At 52.6% G+C, this 26,372-nt stretch overlaps 1 protein-coding gene across 7 annotated transcripts, besides 11 other annotated features; it reads right to left on the reverse strand.

Moving 5' to 3' along the window:
• Positions 1,735 to 2,243: an enhancer, noted in NCBI's record as "H3K27ac-H3K4me1 hESC enhancer chr15:65097880-65098388 (GRCh37/hg19 assembly coordinates)". NCBI's record gives its function as "activates a minimal SCP1, AML or CMV promoter by ChIP-STARR-seq in primed H9 embryonic stem cells {active_cell/tissue: H9 hESC(primed)}" and the evidence as "EXISTENCE:reporter gene assay evidence [ECO:0000049][PMID:30033119]".
• Positions 2,751 to 3,258: an enhancer, noted in NCBI's record as "NANOG-H3K27ac-H3K4me1 hESC enhancer chr15:65098896-65099403 (GRCh37/hg19 assembly coordinates)". NCBI's record gives its function as "activates a minimal SCP1, AML or CMV promoter by ChIP-STARR-seq in primed H9 embryonic stem cells {active_cell/tissue: H9 hESC(primed)}" and the evidence as "EXISTENCE:reporter gene assay evidence [ECO:0000049][PMID:30033119]".
• Positions 4,782 to 5,289: an enhancer, noted in NCBI's record as "OCT4-NANOG-H3K27ac-H3K4me1 hESC enhancer chr15:65100927-65101434 (GRCh37/hg19 assembly coordinates)". NCBI's record gives its function as "activates a minimal SCP1, AML or CMV promoter by ChIP-STARR-seq in primed H9 embryonic stem cells {active_cell/tissue: H9 hESC(primed)}" and the evidence as "EXISTENCE:reporter gene assay evidence [ECO:0000049][PMID:30033119]".
• Positions 6,812 to 7,319: an enhancer, noted in NCBI's record as "OCT4-NANOG-H3K27ac-H3K4me1 hESC enhancer chr15:65102957-65103464 (GRCh37/hg19 assembly coordinates)". NCBI's record gives its function as "activates a minimal SCP1, AML or CMV promoter by ChIP-STARR-seq in primed H9 embryonic stem cells {active_cell/tissue: H9 hESC(primed)}" and the evidence as "EXISTENCE:reporter gene assay evidence [ECO:0000049][PMID:30033119]".
• Positions 7,320 to 7,825: an enhancer, noted in NCBI's record as "OCT4-NANOG-H3K27ac hESC enhancer chr15:65103465-65103970 (GRCh37/hg19 assembly coordinates)". NCBI's record gives its function as "activates a minimal SCP1, AML or CMV promoter by ChIP-STARR-seq in primed H9 embryonic stem cells {active_cell/tissue: H9 hESC(primed)}" and the evidence as "EXISTENCE:reporter gene assay evidence [ECO:0000049][PMID:30033119]".
• Positions 11,686 to 23,116, reverse strand: PIF1 (PIF1 5'-to-3' DNA helicase). Of its 7 annotated transcripts, none has more exons than NM_001286496.2 (13): positions 21,623 to 21,701; positions 19,832 to 20,408; positions 18,532 to 18,664; positions 18,320 to 18,445; positions 17,421 to 17,574; positions 17,221 to 17,335; positions 17,036 to 17,142; positions 15,901 to 16,040; positions 15,171 to 15,277; positions 14,311 to 14,398; positions 14,000 to 14,145; positions 12,628 to 12,819; positions 11,686 to 12,411 (listed from the first exon to the last, which is right to left on the reverse strand). In NM_001286496.2, exons 2-13 carry the CDS (start codon positions 20,387 to 20,389, stop codon positions 12,352 to 12,354), a joined length of 1,926 nt encoding a protein of 641 aa, NP_001273425.1. In that variant the 5' UTR covers positions 20,390 to 20,408; positions 21,623 to 21,701; the 3' UTR covers positions 11,686 to 12,351. The 7 variants fall into 6 exon arrangements, with proteins under 7 accessions (XP_011520385.1, NP_001273426.1, NP_079325.2 ...); XM_011522083.3 differs by lacking the exon at positions 21,623 to 21,701 and adding an exon at positions 23,036 to 23,116; NM_001286497.2 differs by having other exon boundaries at positions 11,686 to 12,002; positions 21,647 to 21,701.
• Positions 15,537 to 16,037: an enhancer, noted in NCBI's record as "H3K4me1 hESC enhancer chr15:65111682-65112182 (GRCh37/hg19 assembly coordinates)". NCBI's record gives its function as "activates a minimal SCP1, AML or CMV promoter by ChIP-STARR-seq in naive H9 embryonic stem cells {active_cell/tissue: H9 hESC(naive)}" and the evidence as "EXISTENCE:reporter gene assay evidence [ECO:0000049][PMID:30033119]".
• Positions 17,934 to 18,435: an enhancer, noted in NCBI's record as "H3K4me1 hESC enhancer chr15:65114079-65114580 (GRCh37/hg19 assembly coordinates)". NCBI's record gives its function as "activates a minimal SCP1, AML or CMV promoter by ChIP-STARR-seq in primed H9 embryonic stem cells {active_cell/tissue: H9 hESC(primed)}" and the evidence as "EXISTENCE:reporter gene assay evidence [ECO:0000049][PMID:30033119]".
• Positions 19,786 to 20,275: a silencer, noted in NCBI's record as "silent region_6539". NCBI's record gives its function as "represses an Ori minimal core promoter by ATAC-STARR-seq in GM12878 lymphoblastoid cells {active_cell/tissue: GM12878}" and the evidence as "EXISTENCE:reporter gene assay evidence [ECO:0000049][PMID:35858748]".
• Positions 19,786 to 20,644: a biological region, named in NCBI's record as "H3K27ac-H3K4me1 hESC enhancer GRCh37_chr15:65116122-65116789".
• Positions 19,977 to 20,644: an enhancer, noted in NCBI's record as "H3K27ac-H3K4me1 hESC enhancer chr15:65116122-65116789 (GRCh37/hg19 assembly coordinates)". NCBI's record gives its function as "activates a minimal SCP1, AML or CMV promoter by ChIP-STARR-seq in primed H9 embryonic stem cells {active_cell/tissue: H9 hESC(primed)}" and the evidence as "EXISTENCE:reporter gene assay evidence [ECO:0000049][PMID:30033119]".
• Positions 21,834 to 21,963: an enhancer, noted in NCBI's record as "active region_9578". NCBI's record gives its function as "activates an Ori minimal core promoter by ATAC-STARR-seq in GM12878 lymphoblastoid cells {active_cell/tissue: GM12878}" and the evidence as "EXISTENCE:reporter gene assay evidence [ECO:0000049][PMID:35858748]".
• Positions 23,117 to 26,372: the final 3,256 nt, after the last annotated feature.

Consider the following 26,372-nt stretch of genomic DNA (forward strand, 5'->3'; position numbering starts at 1 on the left):
TTTTCCTTGAGACAGAGTCTCGCTCTGTCGCCAGACTGGAGAGCAGTGGCACGATCTTGGCTCAGTGCAACCTCTGCCTCCTCGGTTCAAGTGGTTCTCCCGCCTCAGTCTCCTGGGTAGCTGGGACTACAGGTGCATGCCACCATGCCCAGCTAATTTTTTTGTATTTTTAGTAGAGATGGGATTTCACCATGTTGGCCAGGGATGGTCTTGATCTCTTGACCTCGTGATCCACCTGCCTCGGCCTCCCAAAGTGCTAGGATTACAAGCATGAGCCACCGCGACTGGCCAACTCTGAGCTTTTTTAGAGTTGGCAGCAAGGATGTTTCTGAAGGTCAAAGATAATCCCGTGTCAAAAACAGCTCTGGGGCAGGAGGAGTCATGTTCTGTGGGAATGAGCCCTCAGACCCAGCCACTTCCTCATCAAATGTCCTAGTAGCTGGGTCTCCTGGAGCCCCTAGCTCTGCATTCCCACAGGATGGTAGGAGCTGCTGATGGAGGCAGGCAAGTGGAAGTCCAGCCCTGTAGGAGCTCCAGTTCACAGAGGGGAACTGAACTGGCCTTTTTGGAGGAAAAGAAGACTTGAACCAAACTTGGAGGACCTGGTCAACTTGGATGAAGGAGAGTGAGGTGGGACGAGTAGGCTTTCTGTTCAGTGCAGAAAAGCTGGGACTGCTGGTTAAGCCATCAGCATTTCCCAAGCCCCACGGGTGTGTCCCACTGGGTGTTCACACCACAGACCCTTCAAGGGAGGATTGTCATTGCTGTGTGTCAGATGAGGAAACTCAGCCAGGGTCCAAGACTGCAGGAGGGATGTGCTGAATGCATGTGATGAGGAAATGGGGACCATTCTTTTATTTATTTATTTATTTATTTATTTATTTATTTATTTAGAGACAAGGCTTGCTCTGTAACCCAGGTTGGAGTGCAGTGGCACAATCTCGGCTCACTGAAGCCTTGACTCCCAGGCTCAAGCAATCCTCCCACCTCAGCCTCCCAAGTAGCTGGGACCACAGGTGTGTGCTACTGCACTGGGCTAATTTTTTTCTTTTCTTTCTTTCTTTCTTTTTTTTTTTTTTCGAGATGGAGTCTCGCTGTCACCCAGACTGGAGTGCAGTGGTGTAATCTTGGCTCACTGCAACCTCTACCTCCTGGGTTCAAGTGATTCTCCTGCCTCAGCCTCCCAAGTAGCTGGGACTACAGGCTCGCATCACCACGCCCAGCTAATTTTTGCATTTTCAGTAGAGACAGGGTTTCACCATGTTGGCCAGGCTGGTCTTGAACCCCTGACCTCAAGTGATCCATCTGCCTTGACCTCCCAAAGTGCTGGGATTACAGGTGTGAGCCACTGTGCCCAGTCCTTTCTTTTTTTTTCTTTTCTTTTTTTTTTTTTTTTTGAGACAGTCTTGCCCTGTCGCCCAGGCTGGAGTGCAGTGGCGCGATCTCGGCTCACTGCAACCTCCGCCTCTCAGGTTCAAGCTATTCTCTGCCTCAGCCTCCGGAGTAGCTGGGATTACAAGCACCCACCACCACGCCCGGTAATTTTTGTATTTTTTTAGTAGAGATGGGGTTTCACCATCTTGGCCAGGCTGGTCTTGAACTCCTGACCTTGTGATCCACCTGCCTTGGTCTCCCAAAGCGTTGGGATTACAGGCGTGAGCCACCATGCCTGGCCTTTTCTTTTCTTTTTTTGAGACAGGATCTTGCTCTGTCCTTCAGGCTGGAGTGCAGTGGCACTATCAGCTCACAGCAGCCTTGACCTCCTGGGCTCAAACAATCCTCCTGCCTCAGCCTCCTGAGTAGCTGGGACTACAGGTATGCATCACCACACTCAGCTAATGTTTTTTTGATTTTTTGTAGAGACAAGGTCTCACCATGTTGTCCGGGCTGGACTTGAACTCCCAAAAGTGTTGGGATTACAGGCATAAGCTGCTGCGCCCAGCTGAGAGAGACCATTCTGAGAGAGGCCATGGGAGCCTCAGCAGGCTGTGAGACAACCTTAGCCAGGGCAGGAGCCTGGAAACAGGTGGGCAGATGAGGCTGGGCTGATGGGAGATGCATGAGGTCTGAGCTGGAAGGGATCTCAAAGATCTCTCCAACTCATTTTACAGGAGGAAATTGAGGCCCAAAGAGGGAAAGGGGCTTGCCCAATGACACACAAGAGGTTAACGGTAGAGCCAGGCTAGAAAGACCCAGAGAAGATCAAGTACACCCCAATTAAACACAAAGTTCACCCTCACATACTCCCACCTCCAGGCACCACCGCCCCCGCCCCATCCAACAAGCACACTAACACTGGGGCAGTGACAGTGGCTGCATTTCCTCCTATAATAGACCCTCTTTTCCCAGGATGAAGCCCCCACCTTAGGTTATTAGGGGCTCCAGTCAGACCCAGCTCAGCTTCTATTTCACTGTGGGGACCCTGGGGCCTTCCTTCCCATTCCCTGAGCCACAGTTTGCTCATCTGTGATGTGAGGCCACTGGACCAACTGACCACTGTGGTTTTTTCAGTTCTCAGTGAGCAGAGGAAGGCGAGGCTAGGGCTTCTTCCTCCCTCTGGTCCCCCAGCCCCCAGTCCAGCCTGACAGGGGTGGGGCCGGCCTGCTGGGGCTCACATGCCTGAGGAGTAAGCTCCTGGTCCCGAGGAGGCAACATGATCTGTAAAAGATCCCTGACCATCTTTTTGAACCCTGGAGAGGGCGTCTCAGTCATATGAGGACCACAGGGGGATTAGCGATGCTTAGAAGGGAGGCCAGGGAGGCAGCCACCTGGGGGAAAGACTAGGAAGAGGGGAAGTGGGAGAGAAGGAAGTAGCAGTGGGGCAGGTCTGAGTCAGGGACCGAAGACCTGGGAAAGGCAGCTCTGGTGGGTCTGGAGAGGAGGCAGAAGAGAGGAAGGCAGGCGGAGGAAGGGTGTGTGCTCAGGGCTTTGAATGATGCCTGAAAAGGGCCTAGAAGTCTTGTGTCACATAGTCCCTGGCACAAGGAGACCTGGCAGAGAAGGGGAGAAAGCGTTAAATCTGGAGCCTGCCAGCTTGGATTTCAGACCCTTCCACTCAGGCTGTGTGACCCTGGGCAAGTTTTTTGCTCTCTCTGAGCCTCAGGTTCTAACAAAGAGCAGTTTTGGTGCATCGTTCACACTGGGTGGGCTGTGAGGTCAGATGTCCATCCAACCTCAGACCCTCCATGGCCCTTGCCGGTCTTCCTGGGTATGCCCCTCCTTTAGCCAAAGCATATATCCCCCCATGCCCCTCCCCCAACGCCTGCAAGAGCTGCCCTGTCCTAGCCTTCTGGGAGTGCCCCAGCCCCTCTGAAGGGGTTCGAGCCAATCCAGGGCCTATGCAATGAGGGACCAGCAGGACTCAGGGGATGGGGGAAAGGACCTTCTCAAGGCTCATTTTGGGAGGGGGAGTACATACCTGCTTCCCCCACCCGTGCTCCCCCATGACCCACTCCATGGGATATTTGGGTTTCCTCCCCTTTCCCGAGCTCAGGCCCTGCTTGCTTTCTCCACAACAAGGAGCGAATGTTATTTAAAAGGAGATCAGGAGATTTGCCTTAAATAGGCATGGAGTGCTGTGCCAGGTCCCAGTAGAGGGGCGGGAGAGGAGGCCATCTTGGCGGAAGGGAGAAAGGAGTGGAGCTGCAAGAGAGAACAACCTCCCAGGAGTGCGCAGAGCCCTGCACAGTTTACCAAGCACAGGCCTAGTCTGCGGGGAGACGCCCCGGTCTTCAGATGCCAGGAGTGTGGAGGTTTTCTGGGAGGCAAGGGGATAGGGCCTGCAGAGTGGGGGGCTGTCTTGAGACCTCCCCTGACACCTGCCCCCACCATCAGTTTCCAGACCTTTGGCCCCTGCCCCCGGGCTGCCCCTGCCTGTCCTCCCAGCCCTAGCTTGTAACTGGATGCCATCCTCACTCTGCACCTTCCCAGGTGAGCTGGGGCTCTGCTTACTGAACCCAACACCCACTGGGGGCGGGGATTGAGGGGGCACCCCTGGGGCGGGCATCTGCCTGGAGGCTGAGGCTGAAGGCGGGAGCTGGAGCTGCGGGGGAGGAGTGGAGATGGGCTGGCTGTCTCATTCACAGCCCCCGCCCCAGGCCTCCTCAGGAATTTAGGGTTCCAATTCCCTATTCAAGGTCACCTTCTAAGCCTTTCAAGCCCCACCCCTCCCATCTTGGCCTGCCAGGGCCAAGGACTCAGGGGCACCCCCCTGCCATTTCTGTCCCAGCAGGTGATGCTCTTGGAATCTTAAGGAAATGGAGTCTGGCCTGTGGAGTTTTGGGGACAGAGCTAGGGGGAAAGGAAGCATCCCATGTTCAGTCCTTTTTTCAAAGGCCCTGAACACCAAGGTGAGGCCTCAGATACCTGGATGCCCAACCTGGATCTGCCATTTACAGCCATATGACCTAGGGCCACCCACCTTCTGTGAGCCTTGACTTCCTCTGTAAACTAGGTCTAAAGATTCCACTGTAGACTGGGCGCGGTGGCTCACACTTGTAATCCCAGCACTTTGGGAGGCTGAGGTGGGCGGATCACCTGAGGCTGGGAGTTCGAGACCAGCCTGACCGACATGGAGAAACCCCGTCTCTACTAAAAATACAAAATTAGCCGGACGTGGTGGTGCATGCCTGTAATCCCAGCTACTCAGGAGGCTGAGGCAGGAGAACTGCTTGAATCCGGGAGGGGGAGGTTGCAGAGAGCCGAGATCACGCCATTGCACTCCAGCCTGGGCAACAAGAGCGAAATTCCGTCTCAAAAAAAAAAAAAAATTCCACTTTAGAGTTGTCGAAGTCGCTTTCATAAGAAAATGGGCAGAAGACAGAAGGGGGATTATGCCCAAGTGCACTAACTGACCGGGACCTGTACCTCACGTGTGTTGCGGGAGGCAGAGTGGGGAGATTTCATCCTCCCCTTCCCCATGGTGGGTGGGCGCAGCCCAGGTCCTCCAGAAGGCCAGACAGGAAGGAAGGCTTTGTGAAAGATGGCATTCATTTACTCTGGGCTGCTGTGAATTCTCTTTGTTATTCCCCAGAGGCTGCTCAAGAGGGGGTTAATGGGGCGGGGGATGGCCCCTTCAGGTGACAATAATCAAGACAAATAAATAAGAGCTAACCTTGAGGGTTTGCTGCATCCCTGGCCTGACTCCAGCTCTTCTGTCTTCCTAACTCCATCCATGTTTGATCGGCTTTATCCCCATTTCACCAACGATGAAACCAGAGCTCAGATTTAAGCAGAATAACCACAGTCACACAGTCGGGAACTGATGGGGCCAGTGTTTAAACACAGGAATCTGGCTTCAGGGCTCTCTGCTGACTTTGCAAAAATCCCAGGACCCTTTATTTGGGACTTGGGTTCCAGATACAGCTTGCAGTGTGGCCATAGCCAAGTCACCTAACCTCTCAGAAGTTAGGTTTCTCAGCCATGCGCAGTGGTTCATGCCTGTAATCCCAGCACTTTGGGAGAACAAGGCAGGCAGATCACTTGAGGTCGGGAGTTCCAGACCAACCTGACCAACGTGGAGAAACCCCGTCTCTACTAAAAATACAAAATTAGCCAGCTGTAATCCCAGCTACTCGGGAGGCTGAGGCAGGAGAATTGCTTGAACCCATGAGGCAGAGGTTGCAGTGTGCTGAGATGGCACCACTGCACTGCAACCTGGGTGACAGAGCAAGACTGTCTCAAAAAAAACAAAAAAACAAAAAAGAGAAAAGAAAAAGAAATTAGGTTTCTCTCTTTATAAAATGGGGACAATTGTCCCAACCTCCCAGGGTTATTGTGAAAAACAAACTAGAGGGTTAATGAGGCCGGGCATGGTGGCTCGCCCCTGTAATCCCAATGCTTTGGGAGGCTGAGGCAGGAGTATTGCTTGAGCTCAGGAGTTCGAGGCTGCAGCAAGCTCTGACTGCGTCACTGCACTCCAACCTGGGTGACAGAGCTAGACCCTATCTCAAAAACAAAAACAAACCAACAAGAGGGTTAATGAGCACAAAGCAGATAATCTGATGGAAGATTATTTAAAACTTCCCTGCTCTACACTAACTCAGCCCCCACCTCCTAAAGTGTCCATGCACCCCCCACCTAAGCCCAGAGACTGGGAGACAAAGGCTCTGCGGTTCCCTGGGAAAGGACTGAATGACCAATTGGCGCCACCTAGTGGTCTGCAGTGCATGGGGAGCGGGAGGGCCCGGCTGCTCCGGGATTGGGGGTTAAGTAAGATCATTAGCCCAGTGCGGATGGGAAAAATATACCAGGACGTCAGAAAGGATGGGGTCAGGCCTAGTTGGCACCCCACTGAAGACAGGGTGAAGGAGCGCACAGGGCTCAGGGTTCTATTCTAGTTCCAGTTCTGCCACTAAGAACCTCTCCAGGCCTCAGCTACCTCCTTTGCAGAATGGGAGTAAACATTCCTTACCTCTCAGGTCACTGTCCAAGCCTTTGTTCACTTATGAAACATTTAATGAAGCATCTGCTTTCAAAAGTCATCCTGCTGAGGGTTGTGAGGACACAAAGACATCTCAGCTGTGTCTCTCGGGATCAAGGGATCCGCTTCATCCTAGCAGGGAGACTGAGCTGTAAATTGCTCACTACCCTCAGATGCAGATCCCAGGGGACACTGAGGAGGGAGCATAAGGCACAGGAGGCAAGTGGAGGGACAGCAGGTAGTGGGACTCCCCCTCCAAGGGTGAATGTCTTTGAGAAGTGGCAGGAACTGTGACAAGTCAGGTCATAAGATTATCTTTCTGAGGGCCATCGCCCCGCCCCTCTTGCCTGGCCCCCTGCCTGCCTCCCAGCTGGGGACTGGATCGCCCTGGGCTGAGCCCCCTACTCTGGGCTCAGCCCCCTCAGGGCCAGGCCAGCCTCCCCACATACCACCTTCTCTTGCATTAAAGCCTTTAAAGTGGACCATAGGTCCATCAAGGATAGTTCACATCTCTGTGCATTTGCACTGTGTAGCTCCTCTCTCCAAACACCTTTTCTCCAACTCGTCCACCTGGCAAAGTCAACTCCAGCCTTCCTGTGGGAGAGTGGAGAGGAGAGTGCGAAATCCCCCAACTAGGAAGGAAACAGAAATGAAGGGGTGCCCCCTGCCCCCATCAGCAGTGGCACAGCCTGTAAGAATGTGAAATATACATTTGGTCTTCATCCCCATTTCCTGGCATACAACTCCTAAAATCCTTGGAATCTCCAAAGTGATAAGTGTCTTTTTGTATGCTGATGATTGCCTGATGGCCGGCAGCCCCTAGGCAGCTTCAGGATGGGGCTGGTCACCAGAAAGACCAGGGCAGGATTAGAGGGTTGGGACTTTCAGCCCCACCCTATGACCTCAGGGGAGGGGAGGGAGCTGAAAGTTAAATTGATGACCAATGGTTAATCAATCATGCTTACATAATGAATTCTCCATAAAAGGCCCCAAAGCAGAGGTTCTAAGAGCTTCTGGGTAGCTGAGCAAGTGGATATTAGTGGAGGAAGGCTTTCCCACAGAGGGAAGCTCCACACCCCTTCCCCCACGTATCCTTTTCTAATAAAGTGATAAATGTGTTTCCCTGAGTTCTGTAACTCACTTTAGGAAATTAATCAAACCAAAAGAGGGGGGTCTTGGGAACCCCAACTTGAAGCCAGTCGGTCAGAAGTTCCAGAGGCCCAGACTTGTGACTGTCTGAAGGGGCTGTCAGTTTTGGTGACTGAGTCCTCAACCTGTGGGATCTGAGGCTGCCTCCAGGTAGATAGCTTCAGAATTAAATTAGAGGACACCCAGCTAGTGTCCGCTACAGAATTGCTTGTTTGTTGATGGGAAGAAGTCCCTGCATTTGGTCACAGAAGTCTTCTCTCTGTGTTAATTGTTGTTGCTGTTGAGAGAACAGGAAAAAGCAGTTGGAGTTTTTCCACCCACACCCTGCTATATGAGGGCAGCTTTCTTGGGCAGGTAGCAAGTCCTGGTCGCCTAAGGGTAAGCTCTCTACCTTCCTTATTTCTTTGTTCATTCCCTTGCTGTCTGCCTGCCCCTTTCCATGTGCTGGGTGTGTGTGTGTGTGTGTGTGTGTGTGTGTGTGTGTGTGTGTGTGTGTGTGTGTATTTTTGCTTTGTTTTGTTTTGAGCTGGAGTCTCACTCTGTTACCCAGCCTGAGTTTCAGTGACATGATATCTTGGCTCACTGCAACCTCTGCCCCCTGGGCTCAAGTGATCCTCCCACTTCAGCCTCCTGGGACCACAGACACGCACCACCATGCCTGGTTAATTTTTTGTATTTTTGGTAGAGATGGGTTTCACCTTGTTGCCCAGGCTGGTCTCAAACTCCTGATTTCAAGTGATTCACCCACCTCAGCCTCCCAAAGTGCCGGGATTACAGGTGCGAGCCACCGTATATGGCTCTCCCTGTGCTTCTTTGCCTCAAATCCAGAAGTTATCTGAGGACACAGTCTTTCCTGGCCTTTGCTTCACAGGTAAAGTTCCTTGAGAGGATGATGCTGGGGGGAAGGAGAGGCAGAGAGAAGGAGGGTTCCATAGACTGGGGAGGGGCAAGTGGTCAGAGGGTCCTCTGGGAGCACCACAGGGAGGTGGCAGGGGCCCAGAGGGCCTGGCATGAGGTACTGGAGAGTCTCAGAAAGCCTCCCACCCCATCCCAGGGCCCAGGCTGAGTTACTGCCTATGGATGGTGATCAGGGCGGGCCCTGAAGATGAGAGCGGCTCCTATAAGCCCCACTCTCATTTGACCCTGGGGATTGAGGAGCCTCCTGTCTGACTGAGATAGGGTTTCCCTACACCCCTCGGGATACAGGCTCAAAGTTAAGTTAAATTAGATGTCAAGAAAATAGAGAGCCGTGAGGTTTCTTGCACACCTCATAAAATAATCCACTATTGTGATCTGGCATGCGGGTCAGGAATGTCTGGAGCTCACCCACCATGTGGAACTCACTTGTCTTCCTCTGGGGGCCTTCCAGAGAGCATCTTCACCATGAGAAGGGATTGCTAAGGAGAGGACTTTCCGGTGCCCAGGTAGTCTCACGAGAAAGACATTTTATATAGCAGGACAGATGCATATGAGACTGGGAAAAGCTGTGATCAGCCCCTGCGGAAGGGGAAGGGGCTGGGTGAGTGGGATGCCTCAGCCATGTGTGGAGGATGGAGTCAGAGAGAGGAGTCCCAGGTGAGGATGCAGAAGATAACTGCATCACCGGACCCTCAGACATCCCCAACAACCCGGCCTTCGGGGGTGATTAGAGAGTCATCCTGGACAGAATCACTAGGCCCTCTTGCAACTTGATGAAACATTTGGCCTCTTGCCAGTAGCCACAGGACTTGCATGGGAGACCAAGGTCACCCAGCCCCATACCCGCCTTTAGGTCTGAACTGAATCGGGGGAGGAGGTAGCAGAGTGCAGAGCTCCTGCCCCTGGCAGCTGTGCTCAGTGTCTGGTGGCGGCTGCAAAGGTCTTCCTGGCCTGACTGCTCCCAGCTCTACTCCTGCCAGTGGCTCTAGCCTTTCTGATTCCTATTTGTTTCCAAGCCTAGTTTTCTGGGCTTCATATCAGTTCTTTGAGATAGCCTGTTGTTATCTTCCTTTCCTGCTTCAATTATCCTGAGTCAGTTTCTCCTCTTTCCATCCAAGACCACCGAAGGTTGCAGAGCTGTTAGAGAATATGAGATAGTGCTATCTGGGCTGAACTGGGTGGTCCCCAGACCGTGTGTTCAGTAGAAGGAAAGAGTGAAAGCAGCAAAGTGCAACCAGATTGTAACTGCCCTGAGGGCAGGGCCTCAGTGTGACCTGCTCACAGCTGGACCTGGGAGAAGGGATGTGTTGCATGGGGAAATTGGGAACATCTGACATATAAATGGCACCACATTTAAAGACCCCCATGGTTGCCCACTTGTTGTGGGGTAGGGGAAGGAGGTGTCACTCTGGTGGGCTTGTTTTCTGCTCCTAAGAGTGTCTTCTGTTTGGAACAGAGAAAAGAAATTGTGTCACAGAAAAACAATTGACTCAGCCGGGCGCAGTTGGGAGGCCAAGGTGGGCAGATAACAAGGTCAGGAGATCGAGACCATCCTGGCCAACATGGTGAAACCCTGTCTCTACTAAAAATACAAAAATTAGCTAGACTTGGTGGCATGTGCCTGTAATCCCAGCTCTTTGGGAGGCTGAGGCAGGAGAATCGCTTGAACCAGGGAGGCAGAGGTTGCAGTGAGCTGAGATCGTGCCACTGCACTCCAGCACTCCATCCTGGCAACAGAGCGAGACTCTGTCTCAAAAAAAAAAAAAAAAAATTGACTTCTCCAGGTCAGGGAGGGTGGCACCACCATGCCCAGCTAATTTTTGTAGACATGGGGTTTCACCATGTTGGCCAGGCTGGTCTTGAACCCCTGACCTCAAGCCTCCAGAGTTCCTCCTGGGACTACACCACTGTGCCCGGCAAATTTTTGTTTTTTGGTAGAGACAAGGGCTTCATCATGTTGCCCAGGCTGGTCTCGAACTCCTGGGCTCAAGCAATCCACCCGCCTTGGCCTCCCAATATGCTGGGATTACAAGTGTGAGCCACCTTATCAGGCCATCTTTTTTTTTTTTTTTTTTTTTTTGAGAGAGAGTCTCTCTCTGTCACCCAGGCTGGAGTGCAGTGGTGCAATCTCAGCTCACTGCAAGCTCCGCCTCCCGGGTTCACTCCATTCTCAGCTTCCAGAGTAGCTGGGACTACGGGCGCCCACCACCATGCCCAGCTAATTTTTTTGTATTTGTAGTAGAGACGGGGTTTCACTGTGTTAGCCAGGATGGTCTCCATCTCCTGACCTCGTGATCCGCCCGCCTTGGCCTCCCAAAGTGCTGGGGATTACAGGCGTGAGCCACTGCGCCCGGCCCCAGCCACCTTTTTTATTAATCTGACACCTGTAGCTGCCAATGCATGCCTCCATCATAACCCATATTTACCACCCAGAATCGATACCTTTTCACTCACAAGCAGAGAATCTTAGTTTTAGCTAGCCTATGAGGACCCCTGGGCAATTTCCATCAGGCTTTTTGAAAAACTGAAGTTAGTTTGTTGATGATCAGGTTCAAGCTGGGGAGACCATCAAGGCTCAAACTGAGAAATTTCAACCCAGGCTCCTAGCAAATGCAGCAACATATAGCAGGCCTGTTTGTTTCCCACCACGTGAATTCTCTAGTATGTCTGACTATTGGGTGATGGTAACTCACCTTCACCAAATGACAACGTCATTTCTGTTTTGTTTTTTTTTTGAGACAGAGTTTCACTCTTGTTGCCTAGGCTGCAGTGCAATGACGCAATCTCAGCTCACTGCAACCTCCACTTCCCCACCTCCCGGGTTCAAGTGATTCTCCTGCCTCAGCCTCCTGAGTAGCTGGGATTACAGGCATGCACCACCATGCCTGGCTAATTTTGTATTTTTACTAGAGATGGGGTTTCTCCATGTTAGTCAGGCTGGTCTCGAACTCCCGATCTCAGGTGATCCACCCGCCTCGGCCTCCCAAAGTTCTGCGATTACAGGCGTGAGCCATCATGCCCGGTGACAATGTCATTTTATTGCTAGTCACCAACATCAGATAACTCAGCTTTTCAAACGACCAGTGATACTAAGACCACCTCACAGAAGGGTGTGATCTCAGCCACTGTGGCCTAAACAAACACGTGTGTGCACATGCACAAGTGAGAGGGGGAGAGAGAGGAGGCAGGAGGCACAGTTTTTACACAATTCTCTAGTTTATTTGTCCGAAATAAATACAACCTGAGAACATCCATTTCAATGTCCCCAAACACTATTTATCCCCTGAAAAAGCAGCTTAAAATATGGGTGCACATTTTGCAGCTTATGTTCTTTGGTTAGGCTCTGAAGGGTGTTTGTTCTGGGCTGGGCTAGGCTGGGCCTAGCTGTAGAGACACACCTAAGTTCCGTTCTCTGTTTGGAGGCTGCACCCAGCCTGAGTCCCCACCAGTCCCCTCCAAGAGCCCTGATGCTGCTTCCGGAGCACCTGTCTTCATTGCCTCTCCCTTCTGCAGCCTGAAAGGAGGGATGTTCAGGACTCTGCAGCTCTGTGTCCAGCCCTTGCAGAGAGCTTTGTCCTCTGACATCAGCTACCACACAGGCTCATTCTCAACTGGCACAGAAAGGGTTACTTCTGACCCTACAGCAGCTTACCCAGGGCAAAGTGAGAGAAACTGAAGCACAGCTGGTATATGGGTTTAAAGTACTCTCCCTTTAACCCTGCCAGGAGGCTGAGAGTCCCTAAAAAATACAGAAGGGGACACTGCCTGCCTACTCCAGTTATTCCCTGGGGCCCTGGGCCACTAGGGAGCAGGAGGACGGGGAGGCCACAGGCCACCCTTTGTCTTCTCTTTGTGGGTGAGGCTCAGAGGATTGGGTCCATGTTCTCCTGGTCTGAGGCTGCCTCATCATCATCTGGGGACTCCTGGATCAGAGCCAGAGAAGCCCAGTCATGGGTTTGTGCTGTTCCCCAGGACCATAACCTGGGGGCCAGCATCTCTTTCCTTTTGCCCTCACCCCTAAAGGAGCCAGCAGAGGGCTTTTCTGCCCCCACCCCAGGTCCCACTGGGCCGGCGCTCCCTCTGTCCTAGCTCCCACCCTGCCCGTGGCCACAGCCCACCACTGGATGACTCCCTCTTACCAGACTGAGGCTCCTGCCCCGCCGCAGGGTGGCATAGAAGTGCAGCACACGGGGGTCACAGCGAACCGCCATGGGGTCAAAGTCCAGCACACGTAGGCCCTGCAGGCTGCGGGCCCGAGAAAGGGCCACATAGGCCTGGCCACTGGCAAACACACGGCCCAGAGAAATCTCCACACAATCCAGGGTCATGCCCTGGGGGATGCAGGGACAGAGATGGAGTCAGCTCAGCCTTAAGTCCCTTGCCCCGAAAGGCCTGACCCTTTACCAGCCCTGCTACTGCCCCTGGATCTCCTCGTCCAGTCCAGAGAGTCTCTAGACAGAGGGAGAGCATGACAGCAGGTGGCTGTCTGAGTAGGAGGGGGACCGGGAGACAGATCCAGGTAAGAGTTGAGGGATGGAGTGAAAGGAAAGCACTCAGGCTCTGGGTCAGACAGGCGTGGAGCTGAATCCAGGCTGCCACTCACTAACTGTGTGACATGGGACACATGAGCCCTGGTTTCTTTCTGTGCAAAATAGGATTATTCATTATATCTATACTTTATACTTGATACAGTGGTTGTATACAATTTATACAATTTTACGTATCTAGTGGTGGCTTAGAAAATGGTGGGGCAGGAGATGGCAGAGGGGAAGTGAATGTATCCAGGAAAGGGAGAGGAGGTGGACTTGGAAATTCACTAAAGAAAAGTTTATTCTGGGCTGGGTGTGGTGGCTCACGCCTATAATCTCGGCACTTTGGGAGGCCGAGGCGGGCAGATGACCTGAGTTCGAGACCAGCCTGGCCAACATGGCAAAACCCCATCTCTACTAAAAATACAAAAAATTAGCCAGGCGTGGTGGCGGCCGCCTGTAGCCCAGCTACTCGGGAGGCTGAGGCAGGAGAATGGTGTGAACCTGGGAGGCGGAGCTTGCAGTGAGCCGAGATCACTGCACTCCAGCCTGGGCGACAGAGCAAGACTCTGTCTCAAAAACTAAACTAAACTAAAATAAAATAAAAAAAGACACATAGGCCAGGCACGGTGGCTCACACCTGTAATCCCAGCACTTTGGGAGGCTGAGGTGAGTGGATCACCAGGTCAGGAGATTGAGGCCATCCTGGCCAACAAAGTGAAACCTCATCTTTACTAAAAATACAAAAATTAGCCAGGCGTGGTGGCATGCGCCTGTAGTCCCAGCTACTCAGGAGGCTGAGGCAGGAGAATCTCTTGAACCTGGGAGGTGGAGGTTGCAGTGAGCCAAGATCGCGCCACTGCACTCCAGCGTGGGCGACAGAGCAAGACTCTGTCTCAAAAATAAAAAAAAGACACATAGACTGCAACATGCCTGACCTCCCTCTGCCCTCCCTGTCCCTGCCCCCCACACCGGTGCTCACTTGGCTCTTGTGGATGGACATCGCCCAGGCCAGCTGGAGGGGCAGCTGCTGCCGACTGAGGAGCTGGCCCCCGGTGGCCTGCACCGTCCAGCGGTCAGCGTGGATGACCTCAGTGACTCCACACAGGAACCGCACCTGGGGTAGCCCTAAGGAGAGCATGGAGCAGTCCAACTTTAGCTCTGCTTCAGGGCTCTGAGGTGAGGAGCAGGGGCCTTTGGAGCTTTCCTTCCTAGTCTTTTTCTCCCCCCACCATTCCCGGGGCCATGCTGCAAAGCCCCGTAGCAGGACTGCCACCTCCTCCCAACACTTACCTCTCCCTTCTGCCTCGAACCCAACTACCACCCCTCGGGCACCATTCACCAGGCCCCGAGACACCGATAAGTTTTTCACCAGCATCACCTGCAAGGGAGAGAGAGGAATGGACAGCAGCCCCCCTACCCATGCCTGGTCTTAGCTTCGCCATGGCTGTTCTCAGAGGCTGAGGGCAGGGAGCTGTCATGGGGACACTGAATCCCAATCCTTAGCTCTGCCACTGGCTGCCTGTGACCCCTGGGGCAAGTTGCCTTATCTTCCTCGGTCCCAATTTTTCTTTATGTCAAAGAGGAATAATATTTGCTCAATTTGCCCCAGAAGGAGGTGGTAAGGGATCAATAAGGCAACCTCTATCACAGGGCTTTGAAAATGATTGGCTTGGTTATAGGTACATCTGTGGACCACAGATCTTGAGGGATGGCCTCTAGGTCCTGCCACCCCTCTCAGATACACTGTGCCTGCATTTTCCCCTTGGGTGCCCTAAGGAAAATCTTCTGCCCACCCCCAACATTGAGGGAGGAATCAGGACTGTCTCCTGTTTATAAAGTATACTACAGAAGACAGCTGTGTGGGGTAGGTATTTCATTCCCCATTTTTAGGGATGAGGGGACAGAGCTTCAGCAAGGGAAAGAAATTTGCCCAAAACAACACTGCTTGGAGGACCTCCTGGTGTAGGAAGAGAAAAACAGTAGAAAGCTTAAGATGGGAAGGTGGGTGGGAACAGGAGGCAGGGAGGTTTTCAGTGTGGTCAAAGCTGGGCCCACTGGCTGCAGAGTGGCCTGGGCAGAGGGGTAGGGATCAGCAAGGCCCATGCGGGACAGCCCAAGCTCCCAGGGGCTAGGCCCTGCTTCCCACTCACCTGGGCCCCCAGCTTTAGTTGAAGGAGCTGGCTAACAGGACACTGGGCATCCAGGGTACTGGCCAGCTCAGGGTTGCTGTCCATAGCCTCAAATCTGTGTACCTTACCTGGAGAAAAAGAGTTGAGCAAACAGATCACAAATCACTGACTTGTGACTCAGCATCCCAAAAAAGACTTTTTTTAAATTTTAATTTAATTTAATTTTATTTTTTGAGAAGGAGTTTCGCTCTGTTGCCCAGACTGGAGTGCAAAGGCGTGATCTCGGCTCACTGCAACCTCTGCCTCCTGGGTTCAAGCAATTCTCCTCAGCCTCCCGAATAGCTGGGATTACAGGTGCCCACTACCACATCTGGCTAATTTTTTTCTATTTTTAGTAGAGATGGGGTTTTGCCATGTTGGGCAGGCTGGTCTCGAACTGCTGGCTTCAGGTGATCTGCCTGTCTCGGCTTCCCAAAGTGCTGGAATTACAGGTATGACCCACCGCTCCCAGCCTCCAAAAAAAACTATTAGACCAGAGCACGGGGGTAGGGAGTAGAGGCAGCGCAGGCCTGGGGGGCTGTGGAATTTAGTTCATCACACCTCTCAAAGTCACAGTTGCATTTGCAAATATGAGGGCCTTTATGGCTTCAGAGGTTGGGGGCCTAGGACCCAGAGGCCCAGGTTGCCTGGGGGCTACATCTGCTTATAACTCTTCCCAGCTGGTCTTGCCCAGCCCAGGCTCCCTGCTCACCTGGCAGCTCCTGAAGCCGCCTCTCGTTGGTGAGGGCCACATCATCCTGGTGGGTGCAGAGCCTCGTGGCCACAATCCCATCTCGCCCCACCTTGTGGGAAGCTGTGGCCTGGAGCTGGCGGGTCACCTCATCTGAACACCTGTTGGGGCTGGACTGTCAGGGCAGAGCCCACCTGTGCAGCAGGGGAGGTGGGGAACATGGGCAGGATGGCTCAAGCAGCAGGCCATGGGTCAGGCCTTGGGACTGGAAGAGGGCACCAGGGAAGAGTTGCTGCCCCCTCAAGCTGGCCAACCTGTCCCTTCCAAACTTGGACCCCAAACATGGGGAATAAGCAGGGGCAGGGTACTGAGCTTTGATCACATGTGGGCACCCTTCCCTGTGCTGCCCCAGGTCAGAGCTGGCCACCCTCGCACTCCATAATACTCCTGAGGAAGTTGGCTATGATGAGTGAGCACAGGCTGGAGATTTGCAGGACCCAGATTGGCCTCCAGGGTACAATCTTCTATCCACTTGCCTCCTACCTTGGGTGAAAAATCTAGCTTATGTTTCTGTTTTGTTTTTGTTTTTTGAGACGGAGTCTCGCTCTGTCACCAGGCTGCAGTGCAGTGGCATGATCTTGGCTCACTGCAACCTCTGCCTCCCTGGTTTAAGCGATTCTCCTGCCTCAGCCTCCCAAGTAGCTGGGACTACAGGTGCGTGCCACCACGCCCAGCTAATTTTTGTATTTTTAGTAGAGACTGGGTTTCACCAGGTTGGCCAGGCTGGTCTCAAACTCCTGATCTTGTGATCCGCCTGCCTCAGCCTCCCAAAGTGCTGGGATTACAGGCGTGAGCCACCGTGCCCAGCCCCTGACACCTACTTTATGCCAGGCCTTGTGCTAGGTGATGGAGACCCAACCCTGAGGGAGGCTAGGTCCCAGCACTCAGAGCAACCATCTCCTATGGTGCCATGATGGTCTTGACTACAATCCATCCTGAGTTGTCCAGTGCCCTGCCCAAGGCTCCTCTTCCTGCATGGAGTGCTTGCTCCTGAGGGTAACAATTCTACCCCTTCTGTGAGTCCCTCTCTGTGTTCCACTGTGGCCCATGCCTGGATCCTCATCCCATAGCCCCTTCCCCAACCAGCAGAGCTCACCTGCCTAGCCTCACGGCCTGCAGTAGAGAGATGAAGGTCTGGTCTGCCTGCCTCCACACCTTGGTCAGCTCCAGGGTCACTGGCACACACCTCTTCCAGCTCTTGGACTGGTGGGGGCAGGGTGGGGGTGGGTCAAGGAGCAGAGCAGACCCCCAAGGAGAGCAGAGCTAGGAGGTGAGTAATACCTGGAAGCAGAACCGTGGGGGCTGGGAGCCCTTGGTCACAGGTGGCAGCTGCAGAAAGTCCCCACAGATGATGAGCTGGATCCCTCCGAATGGCTTGTTCTGCTGCCGGACAGCTCTGGAGAGGAGCGTGGGGTGCTTTAGGGGCACACAGAAGACCACCAGGTCCCAGTTCTCACCTGCTGCCCTCTGAACATACTGACCTGGCCACGGCCTCCAGTTTGTCAAACAGGTCTGCCTCCACCATTGAGATCTCGTCAATGACCAACCGCTGGCAGTTCAGCCAGCCCTGCCGCACGCCTGGCCTTTGGGCCAGGGCCACACACTGGGCTAGAGGAGCCTGGCCTGAGCCGATGCCTGTGAGTGACACTATTCAGCCTGGGCTAATACCCAAAGCCTCTCTTTTTTTTTTTTTTTTTTTTTTTTGAGAGAAGGTCTCTTTCTGTCACCCAGGCTGAAGTGCAGTGGCACGATCTTGGCTCACTGTAACCTGGGCCTCATGGGCTCAAGCGATCCTCCCACCTCAACCTCCATAGTAGCTGGGACTACAGGCACACACCACCATGCTCAGCTAATTTTGTTTTGTTTTGTTTTGAGATGGAGTCTCGCTGTGTCGCCCAGGCTCAAGTGCAGTGGCGTGATCTCGGCTCACTGCAAGCTCTGCCTCCTGGGTTCACGCCATTCTCCTGCCTCAGCCTCCAGAGTAGCTGGGACTACAGGCGCTTGCCACCATGCCTGGCTAATTTTTTTGTATTTTTAGTAGAGACAGGGTTTTACCGTGTTAGCCAGGATAGTCTTGATCTCCTGACCTTGTGATCCGCCTGCCTCGGCCTCCCAAAGTGCTGGGATTACAGGCGTGAGCCACTGCGCCCGGCCGCTAATTTTTAAATTTTGTGGAGACAGGGTTTACTGTGTTGGCCAGGCTGGTCTCAAACTCCTGGGCTCAAGCGATCCTCCCACCTTGGCCTCCTAAAGTTTTGGGATTACAAGAGTGAGCCACGGCGCCCAGCCCCCAAAACTCCCTCTTTATGCAGACCTCCCCTCTCTCCCTTCCCAGAAGCTGGGCTTGCTCTTAGCTCAAGCCCTAGGGGTTCCTACTTACCTGCAAAGGCATGGAGGGTGGTGCCCCCGATGTGGCAGGCTGCCACCCCAGTGCTGGCAGTGGCCACAGTGCCTGTGGGGGGCAGTGAGCCCAGGATTCGCTTTAGCAGATATGACTTCCCTGTTCCTGGACAGGGGCAAAGTTAGACAGGTCTCCCTGTTCCTCTATCCCACCCCACCACTGTCCCCCTACCTCCTCTCTGCCCCCACTACCTGCACTCCCAGTGAAGAAGATGCTCTGGCCTTTCAGGACGGCCCTCAGCACAGCAGCCTGTTCCTCAGAAAGCTGTGGCTTGGTGGAGGGCAAGCTCAGCCTCTTCACAGGCAGGGGCCACCTTGGGGCTTCCTGGGGGGAACAGAGCTATCTCAGAGCATCCTCCCACCCGCTAGGCATTGCCCCCACCCTTCTTGGCCCATGTGCAATGCTGGGCCTGGTAACCCTTTGTCCTCTACTGCCTTCATTCCATGGAGCTCTTGGGTTTGCCTGGAGAGCTTGCCAGCAACTATTGGGGTCCCGATCTCTCCTTGTGCCCTGAAGACCCCCATTGTCCAGTCCTGGGCAGACCACACCAGTGTGGTCTACACCCTCCCTTAGCTCCTTCCCCTGGGTTCCCTAACCCTTCTCATCCTGTCACTAAAGTTTCCTTCCTGTCACCTAAGTTTCTCTTCCTATCACAAACCTGTTTCTCACCTCAAAATACCCAAGCAAAACCCTGTCTAGCCAGGGCCCCTTCTTATCCTGTCTCTGTCCTCTCGCCAGCTTAGTGTCAAACCCTGGTGGGCTATGATTCACCTGCCCCAGCCCATGAAAATTGTCAAACCCACCAGACTTTTTTCCCCTCATCTGCTTCAACTGTTGGCTGCCCAGGACACGAATGACCACTTCATTCTCTCCATAAGCTCCTCTACTCTGGGCCTATTACCCTCTCCCAGCATTCTTTCTGTAGTCCTTTGCAAGCCTCCTTCTCTTCTTTCTCTCTCGCTCTCTCTTTTTTTTTTTTGAGGAAGAGTCTCGCTCTGTCACCCAGGCTGGAGTGCAGTGGCGCGATCTAGGCTCACTGCAACCTCTGCCTCCCGGGTTCAAGCTATTCTCCTGCCTCAGCCTCCCAAGTAGCTGGGATTACAGGCGCCCGCCACCGCGCCTGGCTAATTTTTGTATTTTTAGTAGATACGAGGTTTCACCATGTTGGCCAGGCTGGCCTCAGAACTCCTAACCTCAGGTGATCCACTTTAGCCTCCCAAAGTGCTGGGATTACAGGCGTGAGCCACCATGCCCGGCCTCTGCTTTCTCTTTTAATGTAGCCAGGTCCCATTTCCTGTTTTGATTTACTCCATCTCAGGGATTACACTATAACAACCACAGGCACAATTCCCACACCCCTGTCATACTGAGATGTCAGATGGGTATCAAATACCCACACCGGCTTCCCCTCAAACTTGGGTCTCTAGGTCTCTGCCATCTTAAAGAATGGCACATCTACTCCTAAAGGTGTCCCTTCTTTCCCGTCCTCACTGTGCTAGGCTCGGCCCCAGCCTGGGGCTCCACAGGCCGCTTCACCAGCGTAGTGTCCGGAACCCGGGTGGCCGCCCTGAGCCGCCGCTCCTCGGGCTGCACAGGGCTGATGGTGACGAAGTCGCGGGGCCGCGGGCCCAGCAGCTGCGCTCGGGCGGAGGCCGGCCCGGGACCCGGGGCCGCAGCCAGCTTGAGGCGCAATGTGCGCAGGAAGCGGCGCAGGCGGTCTGGGGGGCAGTCCGAGAGCAGCAGCTGCACTGCGCCGGCCCCGGGGGTGTCGTGGGCGGGGAGCCGCAGGGTGCTGCGCCCGGCCTCGGCGAAACGCGTGAAGAGGCGCGCGGCGCGCAGAGGAAAGCAGCGCGGCCGCCCCGCGGGCCCTGGCGCTTGCAGCCGCAGCATCAACTCGCGGCGCTCGTTGCGACCCAGGCTCAGCTCCGCGGTGCGCAGGGCCTGGCGCCTTCGCGGCTGCCCGCCCGGGCTCAGCTCCTCCACAGCCACGCGGCACCGCAGCTCCGAGTCCTCATATTCCCCTGCCGCCGCCTCTATGCCCGAGAGCATCGTCACCGCCTCTGCTGGTCTGCGAAGACACCGGAGCACAGGGGTCATGAGGATTCATGAGACGTAATGGGTGCTATAGGGGACGTAATGGGTGCTATAAAGGACGTGACAGGGAGCAGGGTCAAGGCTACACAAGATCACGAGGACTGTCACTGGTAACACAAAGAGGTCACAAAGACGGAGAAAGGGCTTTGGGCTAACCGAAAATCCACCCTTAGAATATGCCCTGGGCCGGGCGCAGTGGCTCGCGCTTTAATCCCAGCACTTTGGGAGGCTAAAGTGGGCGGATCACCTGAAGTTAGGAGTTCTGAGACCAGCCTGGCCAACATGGTGAAACCTCGTCTCTACTAAAAATACAAAAATTAGCCGGGCGTGGTGGCGGGCGCTTGTAATTCCAGCACTTTGGGAGGCTGAAGAAGGAAGATCGCTTGAGCCCAGGAACTCGAGACCATCCTGGGCAACATAGCGACACCCTCTAATTAAAAAAAAAATACATACATATAAATACATACATATGCATACATTATATATATGTGTGTGTGTGTGTGTATATATATGTATATATATATATACACACACGCACCCTGCTACACAATTTCCATTTCTATATATCCAATTTCTATATATATATACACACAATATATATACAATTTCTATATATATACACACACACACACACACACATATACACACACACCGTGCTACACAACAATTTCCAGAGCGGCGGATGGGCACCGAGGATTAGGGAGCCTCAGGTGTCCTGCAAGGACCTCACTAGAACAGGGGTCCCTGCGCAGAAAGAATCCTCCTTCCCCGAGACCCAGGGCGAGCACATGAATCCTCAGAGTACTCTCCCCAGGAAGCAGGAGAATCGCCCGTGGGGAGATGCAAAGAGGGCTGCCGTGTAATAAGCGACTTCTGCCTTGTAGGTACATTCACTGGCTTATATGCAGCGGGCAGGTCTCACTCTTCCCCGTGTACAGACGTGGAAACAGGCTAAGAGAGGGAAACTCACTTGCCCTTCATAAGCCACAGCGGCTAGTAGTCAAAGTCAGTGTGATTCCCATGCCCTCGCGCTTCCCACCACCAAGGTGGGGACGAGGTGGAAAATATTCGGCTAGGGAAATCGCGGGGGACCCTGGGACCCTAGAAGCCGTGCTCCCTCAGGCTGACCCATTTGTTTGCACCCTCCCGCCGGAAACCCCTAGATAAATCAGGCTCTTTGCTCCCCACCTCTGGGTTCGGGCAGACACTCACTTGTGCCGACACTCAGATGAACAAGCAGATCGTAGCCGGCCTGTGGCTAAGCTCCGAAACTAGAAATTTTTCAAATGCTAGAGGCAGAAAATCACCCAATCACCGACTGGATCTTTAAATTCTCCAGCCACTCAGAGGTAGGGGCGTAACAATGGGCGTGTCTTTCTTTGCGTCTCTACTCCAGGAGCTTGGGCTGTACCAATTGCCTGCTAGAGGAAGGAGGTTTATGGTGGTGGCTGAGCATACCAAATCCAGTGGACGGCTGGGCGTGGTGGGAGGAGGCCGCCGCTGCGGCAGCCACCCGGCGGCGCGTGGTGTCGGGTCTGAAAACCCTACGCGACTCCGAAGATTTATTTTCAGAACCATCCTTCCAGCACACTCCCTCTCCCCTCTAGCCCGCACACAGAGGCTGGGCTTAGCCTTGGGGAAGATCTGCCTTTGGACTCTCACACCCCTGTTTACACTCACAGTACCATTGTCCAGTTCTGGGCAGACCACCCCAAGGCCTGCCCAATCCCTCCCCCGCCCCCAACTCTACATCCTTCTCTGCCTTTGTAAGGGACTTTACGCTTTGGCTCTCTCACCCACCTGAGGCCCATGAGTGAGAAACTCTGAGACCTGTGCCACGTGCCAGAGGGTACAGCGGAAGCGAGTAGAGTCTCTGTCTTCAGGGAAATTGTATCCCTCTTCTTGCACAGGATGCTGAAAGAATTTACTTTTAATCATCTTTATTATCTCATTGAAGCTTGGAATTACATAGCTGGAAAGGATCTTACAGGTGAGTCTGGCTACCTCATTTTACAGATAATGATAACTACCATGGATTAAATTGCCCTTTCCTTTCCTTTTTCCTTCTTAGGGCTCACTCTGTCGCCCAGGCTGTAGTGGAGTGCAGTGGCACAATCTCTGCTCACTGCAACCTCTGCCGTGGCGCGATCGTGGCTCACTGCAACCTCCGCCTCCTGGGCTCTGGTGATCCTCCCGCCTCAGCCCCCCAGGTAGCTGGAACTACAGATGCACACCCAGCTAATTTATATATATATATATATATATATATATATATATATATATATACACACACACACACATATATACACACACATATATATACACACACATATATATATACACACACATATATATATATACACACACATATATATATATAATTTTTTTTTCGTATAGACGGGATGTCACCATGTTTCCCAGGCTTGTCTCGAACTCCGGAGGTCAAACGATCCACCCACCGTGGCCTCCCGAAGTCCTAGGATTACAGGCATGAGCCCGGACCTTATTTTTCAAATGAGAAAAAAGCAAGGCTTCCAGAGATTTTACTGAAGGTCACATAGCTGATATGGAGAGCAAAACCAAACATTGAACCCAGATTACCTGCTCGCTTAATCACTCCATGGGGCTTAGCTACTACACCACACTGCTCCCAGTCTGTTAGCGGTAGAGGGTGATGACTGAAAGTTGTCCAGGTTCTTGGCGTTTTGAACAAAGAATTGGACAAAATGCCCATCAAAGCAAAGAAAGAATGAAGCAACAAAAGAACAAAAGCAGGAATTTTTTGAAAACGAAAGTACGGCTAGGCGCGGTGGCTCACGCCTGTAATCCCAGCACTTTGGGAGGCCGAGGTGGGGGGATCACTTGAGGTCAGCAGTTCCAGACCACCCTGACCAACATGGTGAAACCCTGTCTCTACTAAAAATACAAAAATTGCCGGGTGTCGTCGTGGACATCTGTAATCCCAGCTGCTTGGGAGGCTGAGGCATGAGAATCACTTGAATCCAGGAGGCAGAAGATACAGTGAGCCTGGATCGTGCCGCTGCACTCCAGCCTGAGCGACAGAACGAGAACTTGTCTCAAAACAAACAACAACAACAAAAAACAAAAACGAAAGTACACTCCACAGTGTGGGAGGGGACCCGAGATACAGAATTTTCTTGGGTTCAAATACCCCCTAGAAGTTTCCCATTGGGAACTTTACGCTTACTTCATGTAACTGAAGTGGTAGCGATAATCAGTCTGATTGGTTGCAGACAGCAACCATTCAGCCACCATTCAGAGGCTGGAGTGAAGTTACAAAGTTGCAAACGAAGACTGGACCCACACTCCTATGATTTGTTGCAGACAGCCAATCTCCCATCTGCCAATCTCCCATCTGCCATGCGGGAAACGTCAAAGGGAGTAGCCTTTGGTCCTTTTGTTCTTGTCCTTACTTAGGAGTGGAAAGTTAGAGTTTTCCTTTTTTTTTTTTTTTTTTTTTTTTTTTTTTGGGAGACAGCGTCTGGCTCTGTGCTCTGTTGCCCAGGCCGGAGTGCAGTGGCAGGATCTCGGCTCACTGCAACTTCTGCCTCCTGGGTTCAAGCGATTCTTCTGCCTCAGCTTCCCAAGTAGCTGGGACTACAGGTGCGTGCCACCATGCCCATTTAATTTTTGTATATTTGGTAGAGATGGGGTTTCACCATATTGGCCAGGCTGGTCTCGAACTCCTGACTTCGTGATCCGCCTACCTCGGCCTCCCAAAGTGCTGAGATTACAGGCGTGAGCCACCATGCCCGGCCAGGGTTTTCTTTTTTCTTCTTCTTCTTCTTCTTATTTTTTTGAGGTGGAGTCTCTATTTGTTGCCAGGCTGGAGTGCAGAGGCGCTATCTTGGCTCACTGCAACCTCTGCCTCCCCCATTCAAGCGATTCTCCTGCCTTAGCCTCCCAAGTAGCTAGGACTACAGGTGCATGCCACCATGCCCAGCTAATTTTTGTATATTTAGTAGAGACGGGGTTTCACCATGTTGGCCTGGATGGTCTCAATCTCTTGACATTGTGATCTGCCCGCCTCGGCCTCCCAAAGTGATGGGATTACAGGTGTGAGCCACTGTGCCCAGCCGGGTTTTCCTTTTAATTTAATTCTAGGAAGTCGGCGTGAAACAGCCTTAGGTTCCCTGCCTCCAGACCCTGTTCTTCTGCCTCAAGGTGACTGGCCTAGCTTCATGAAAGGTATAACCTGGACTGGAATCTCAGCTAGTAACAGCCACTGCAATGCCTTTCCAGTGGATGCTACCCTAAGCAGGTTTCCATAATGTCTCAAGCCTCTGTTTTCTCAAAATGGGAGAAAGATAAAAATAGTCTAAAATTGATTGGTGATAGTTGCACAACCCCGTGACTATACTGAAAACCATTGAATCGAATGCTTTGAATGCTTAAATTGTATGGTATGTGAATTATATCTCCATAAACCTGTTAGAAATCTTTTTTTTTTTTTTGAGACAGGTTGTCACTCTGCCACCCAGGCTGGAGTACAGTGGCACAATCATAACTCACTGCCGCCTTGACCTTCCTGCTCAAGTGATCCTCCCATCTCAGCCTCCCAAGTAGTTGGAACTACAGATGACTACCACCACGCCTAGCAAATTTTTGTATATTTTATAGAGACTAGGGTCTCGCCATGTTGCCCAGGCTGGTCTCGAACTCCTGGTCTCAAGAGATCTGCCAGCCTCAGCCTGCCAGAGTGCTGGGATTACAGGAGGGTGCCACCATGCCTGGCTGGAAAGAAATCTTGAGAGATATTTTTCTTCTCCAGTGTTGTCTTGACATATATTGAATATCAGTGGCATGCGTCATTGTGTATGAGTAAATGAGTAGGTTAAGAAAAATTTTCAGCTGGGTGTGGTGGCTCACGTCTGTAATCCCACCACTTTGGGAAGCTGAGGCAGGTGGATCATGAGGTCAGGAGTTCAAGACCAGCCTGGCCAAGGTGGTGAAACCCCATCTTTACTAAAAATACAAAAATTAGCTGGGTGTGGTTGCAGGCATCTGTAATCCCAGCTACTCGGGAGGCTGAGGCAGGAGAATCGCTTGAACCCAGGAGACAGAGGTTGCAGTGAGCCAGGATCGCACCACTGCACTCCAGGCTGGGCGACAGAGCGAGACTCTGTCTCAAAAAAAAAAAAAAAAAAAAAAAGAGAAAAGTTTTCAAGGTCATTATGGTAGGCAGAATAATGACCCCCTTCCCCAAAATGTCCATGTTCAAATCCCTAGAATTTGTGAATATTATCTTACATTGGCAAAAGGGACTTTGCAGATATGATTAAGTTTTTTTTGTTGTTTGTTTTTTTTTTTTGAGGCGGAGTTTCACTCTTTTTGCCCAGGCTAGAATGCAATGGCATGATCTCAGCTCACTACAATCTCCACCTCCCGGGTTCAAGCAATTCTCCTGCCTCAGCCTCCCTAGTAGCTGGGATTACAGGCATGCGCCACCACACCTGGCTAATTTTGTATTTTTAGTAGAGACAGGGTTTCTCCATGTTGGTCAGGCTGGTCTTGTACTCCTACCTCAAGTGATCCGCCCACCTCGGCCTCCCAAAGTGCTGGGATTACAGGCGTTAGCCACCACACCCGATCATGGTTAAGTTTTTTGAGATGAAGATGTTATTCTGGATTATATGAGTGGCCCAATGTAATCACAGGGGAAAGAAGGAAACAGGAGTCAGAGAAGATATGACAAAGGAAGTAGAGTTGAGAGAGAGAGAAAGAGAGACGTGAAGATGTTACTGCTGGCTTTGAGGTTGGAGGCAAGGGCCACAGACTAAACCAAGGAAGGCAGGAGCTCTCTAGAAGCTGGAAAGGGCAGGGAAATGGATTATCTCCTGGAGTCTCCAGAAGAAAAACAGCTTTTGATTTTAGTACAGTAGGACACATTTCAGACTCCTGGCTTCCAGAATGACAA

This window comes from Homo sapiens, chromosome 15 (genome assembly GCF_000001405.40).
Source record: "Homo sapiens chromosome 15, GRCh38.p14 Primary Assembly".
Taxonomy (NCBI): Eukaryota; Metazoa; Chordata; class Mammalia; order Primates; family Hominidae; genus Homo; species Homo sapiens.